At 42.8% G+C, this 3,877-nt stretch overlaps 1 pseudogene, besides 1 other annotated feature; it reads left to right on the top strand.

Moving 5' to 3' along the window:
• Positions 373 to 750, top strand: HSPB1P1 (heat shock protein family B (small) member 1 pseudogene 1; annotated as a pseudogene).
• Positions 587 to 1,118: an enhancer, noted in NCBI's record as "H3K4me1 hESC enhancer chr9:74622307-74622838 (GRCh37/hg19 assembly coordinates)". NCBI's record gives its function as "activates a minimal SCP1, AML or CMV promoter by ChIP-STARR-seq in naive H9 embryonic stem cells {active_cell/tissue: H9 hESC(naive)}" and the evidence as "EXISTENCE:reporter gene assay evidence [ECO:0000049][PMID:30033119]".

Raw genomic sequence — 3,877 nt, 5'->3', positions numbered from 1 at the left:
ATAGTATAAAGTAATATACAATATAAATAGCTTTTACTTAACCAACATTCGGACACGATGGAAGAAAAATCCCCAATTTTAATAGGAAAAAAAAGCCTAGGAATAAGCCTAATAAGTAATATACCAGGTCTGTAGGAAGAAAATCTTGAAACATTATTGAAGGGCATAAAGGAAGACTTGAGCAAGTGAAAGACATACAATGTTCTTAAACTGGAAGATAACATCAAAGGTGTTAATTTTCTCCCAAGGGAATTTATAAATTTAATCTCCTCTTTGTCTAACGAAGAGGGTTGTTTTTTTCCGGGCAGGGGCTGGAGGGTAAGGACTAGATAAATCCTTAAGTGTATACTTAAAAAAGCTCTTACCTACAAAGGCAAGTACGAGGAGCAGCAGGACGAGCATGGCTACATCTCCCGGTGCTTCACGCGGAAATACACGCTGCCCCACCGGTGTGGACCCCACTCAGGTCTCCTCCTCCCTGTCCCCTGAGGGCACACTGACCGTGGAGGCCCCCATGCCCAAGCTAGCCACGCAGTCCAACGAGATCACCATCCCAGTCACCTTCGAGTCGCGGGCCCAGCTTGGGGGCCCAGAAGCTGCAAAATCCGACGAGACTGCCGCCAAGTAAAGCCTTAGCCCGGATGCCCACCCCTGCTGCCGCCACTGGCTGTGCCTCCCCCGCACCCACCTGTGTGTTCTTTTGATACGTTTATCTTCTGTTTTTCTCAAATAAAGTTCGAAGCAACCACCAAAAAAAACAAAAAAAAGATAGAAAAACTTTTTTAAAAGAAGAGCAGGCCGGTGCGATGGCTCATGCCTGTAATCCCAGCACTTTGGGAGGCCGAGGCGGGCAGATCACCTGAGGTCAGGAACTCAAGACGAACCTGGCCAACATGGCGAAACCGTGTCTCTACTAAAAATACAAAAAATTAGCTGGGCGTGATGGCTGGTGCCTGTAGTCCCAGCTACTCAAGAGGCTGAGGCAGGAGAATCGCTTGAAACTGGGAGGCGGAGGTTGCAGTAAGCCAAGATCACGCCACTGCACTCAAGCCTGGGTGACAGAGCAAGACTCTGTCTAAAAAAAAAAAAGAAGAGCAGTAAGCGGGAACTAACTGTAAGAAATATTGAAGCATACGAAAAAGCTTCAGTAATTAAAACAGTATAACAGATAGACCTGCAGAAGAGATTAGAAAGTTTATAAATAGATTTAAATACATGCAAATTTTTACGTTAGCAAGTGATGCATCTCAAATCCGGGAGCAGGGTAATGATTATTCAATAAACAGTGTTAGAATAACTAGTTAATGTCTGGGAAAAAATTAAGTTGGAACCATATCTTACATCTTACTCCCAGAAAATATCAAGTGGATCAATGATTTAAATGTAAAATATGAAGGCATACAACTTCTAAAAAGAAAACATATAGAAATTCAGAAATTCTTTTATAACTTTAAAGTGAAGACCTTACTAGTTATGTTTAATAGCCATTAAAAAAACGGCTAATTGCGGAAATAAACAAGAAAAGAAATAACAAAAACCAAAAAATGGCTAATTGCTAAATTCCAGTACATAAATACAAACAAAGGAAAGCTTCCTCATGAGGTGGAGTGGGAGACATTGTAAGCCAAGTCAATGAAAATCAGTGACCCTCTGGAAAAATCTTGGCAACGAATATCACAAAAGAACAGTTTATCTCCCCCAGTATTTAAAGAGCTCCTAGAAATTGTGGCTGGAGAAAGTCAGACTTTGTAAAATATTCAAGGAGATTTATTCTGAGCCAAATATGGGTGACCAATGGCCCATGACTCAGCCCTCAGAAGCTCCTGAGTGCATATGCCTCGGATGGTTGGTGTACAGCTTGCTTTTATGTGTTTTAGGGAGACGTGAGACACCAATCAACACATGGAAGATGCACATTGGCTCAGTCTGAAAAGGCAGGACAGCCAGAACAGGGGCTTCGAAGTCGTAGGCACATTCAAACATTTTCTGATTGGCAATTGTTTTAAAGGGTTTATTTTCAACAGAAAGTAATGTCTGAGTTATAAGGGGTTGTGAAGACCAGGGTTTTATCATGCAAATGAAGCATCCAGGTAGCAGGCTTTACAGGGAATAGATTATACATATTTCTTTCTTTTTATTTTTTTTTTCTTTTTTGTGAGACAAGGTCTTTCTCTGTTGCCAAGGCTGGAGTGTAGTGGCGTGGTCACAGCTCACTGAAGTCTCCACCCCCCAGACTCAAGCGATTCTCCCACCTCAGCCTCCCAAGTAGCTGACCTAACAGGCATGTGCCACCAAGCCTGGCTAATTTTAGTATTTTTTGCAGAGCCAGGGTCTCACCATGTTGCCCAGGCTGATCTCAAACTCCTGAGCAATCTGCCTGCCTCTGCCTCCCAAAGTGCTGGGATTACAGGCATGAGCCACTGAACCCAGCCTTATAAATGTTTCTTATCATACTTAAATAGTTTGTTCTATCAGTAATTCCTAAAGGAATTACACCCAATAGGGCCAAATGAGGCATGTCTGGCTCCCCCTTCTTATCATGGCCTGAACTAGTTTTTTGAGCTAACTTTGGAATGTCCTTGGCTGAGAGAAGGGGTCCATTCAGATGGCTGGTGGGCCTTAGAATTTTGTTTTTTGTTTACAAAATCAAAAAAAGAAATACCAACAAACCTGTAGAAAAATGGGCAAATATGAAGACACTGTTCACAGAAAAGGAAGTACAAATGACTGCAAATTTATGAAGAGTTGCTTAGCCTTACTCATTATAAAATAATTGCAATTAAAACTAACCTACAATACTATTTTCCCTTGTATTAGATTGACAAAAATGCAAAACAGTAATAATAAATTCTGCTGACAAAGCAATGGGAAGACAGGCACTTTTCACACATTGCTGGTAGGAGTTTAAATAAATAGAACTCCAGTGGAAGGCCACTTGTCCCTATCAAAATTATGAATGCAAATCTCTTTAACTCAGCAATCCCATTTCTGAGAATTTGTTGTGCATCCACAAGTGTATATTCTTAAAATGACATGTGTATACAAGACTATTCATTGTATTAATGTGACAGCAAAAGATCAGACACAAACATCAATAATAGATGAGGGTCTTGTTCTGTTTCCCAAACTGGAGGGCAGTGGCATGATTGTGGCTTACTGCAGCCTTGACCTCTTGGGCTCAGTTGATCCTCCCACCTCAGCCTCCTGAGTAACTGAGACTACAGGCATGCACCACCATGCCCAGCTAATTTTTGTGTTTTTTTTAATAGATGGGGTTTCGCCATGTTGCCCATGCTGGTCTCAAACTCCTGAGCTCAAGGGATCCACTCACCTTGGCCTCCCAAAGTGCTGGGATTACAGGTGTCTGCCACCACGACTGGCCAAATGGGGAATTATTCTTGAAGCAATTTGAAAATGTCAGGCCGGGCACGGTGGCCCACGCTCGGCCTGTGCTGGATATTCTTAATGTATTTTCCTTTAGTTCAAATCTTCAACTTTCCGTTTCCCTCTTCCCCAGCAGGCTGAGTGCTATGCTTCAGGGATGCCCTCTCAGCTTGGGCTGGATTGGGAAGATGGGAGGTAAAGTAGGAGGCGGAGCTTGGGAGAGTGTGATCAGTGGTATTCATTTGGCAGGTTTTCCCTCAGTAGGTCAGCTGCAAGTTGGCAGTGGCTGTTTTTCTGTTTTGTTTTGTTTTGTTTTGTTTTGTTTTGTTTTGTTTGAGACAGAGTCTCACTCTGTCACCCAGGCTGGAGTGCAGTAGTACGATCTCGGCTCACTGCAACCTCCACCTCCCAGATTCAAGATATTCTCCAGCCTCAGCCCCCTGAGTACCCGGGACTACAGGTGTGTACCACCATGCCTGGCTAATTTTTGTAT

This window comes from Homo sapiens, chromosome 9, assembly GCF_000001405.40.
Source record: "Homo sapiens chromosome 9, GRCh38.p14 Primary Assembly".
In the NCBI taxonomy this organism is placed as follows: Eukaryota; Metazoa; Chordata; class Mammalia; order Primates; family Hominidae; genus Homo; species Homo sapiens.
The sequence above is the reverse complement of the archived record's forward strand: the minus strand, read 5'-3'. Positions and strand labels throughout refer to the sequence as shown.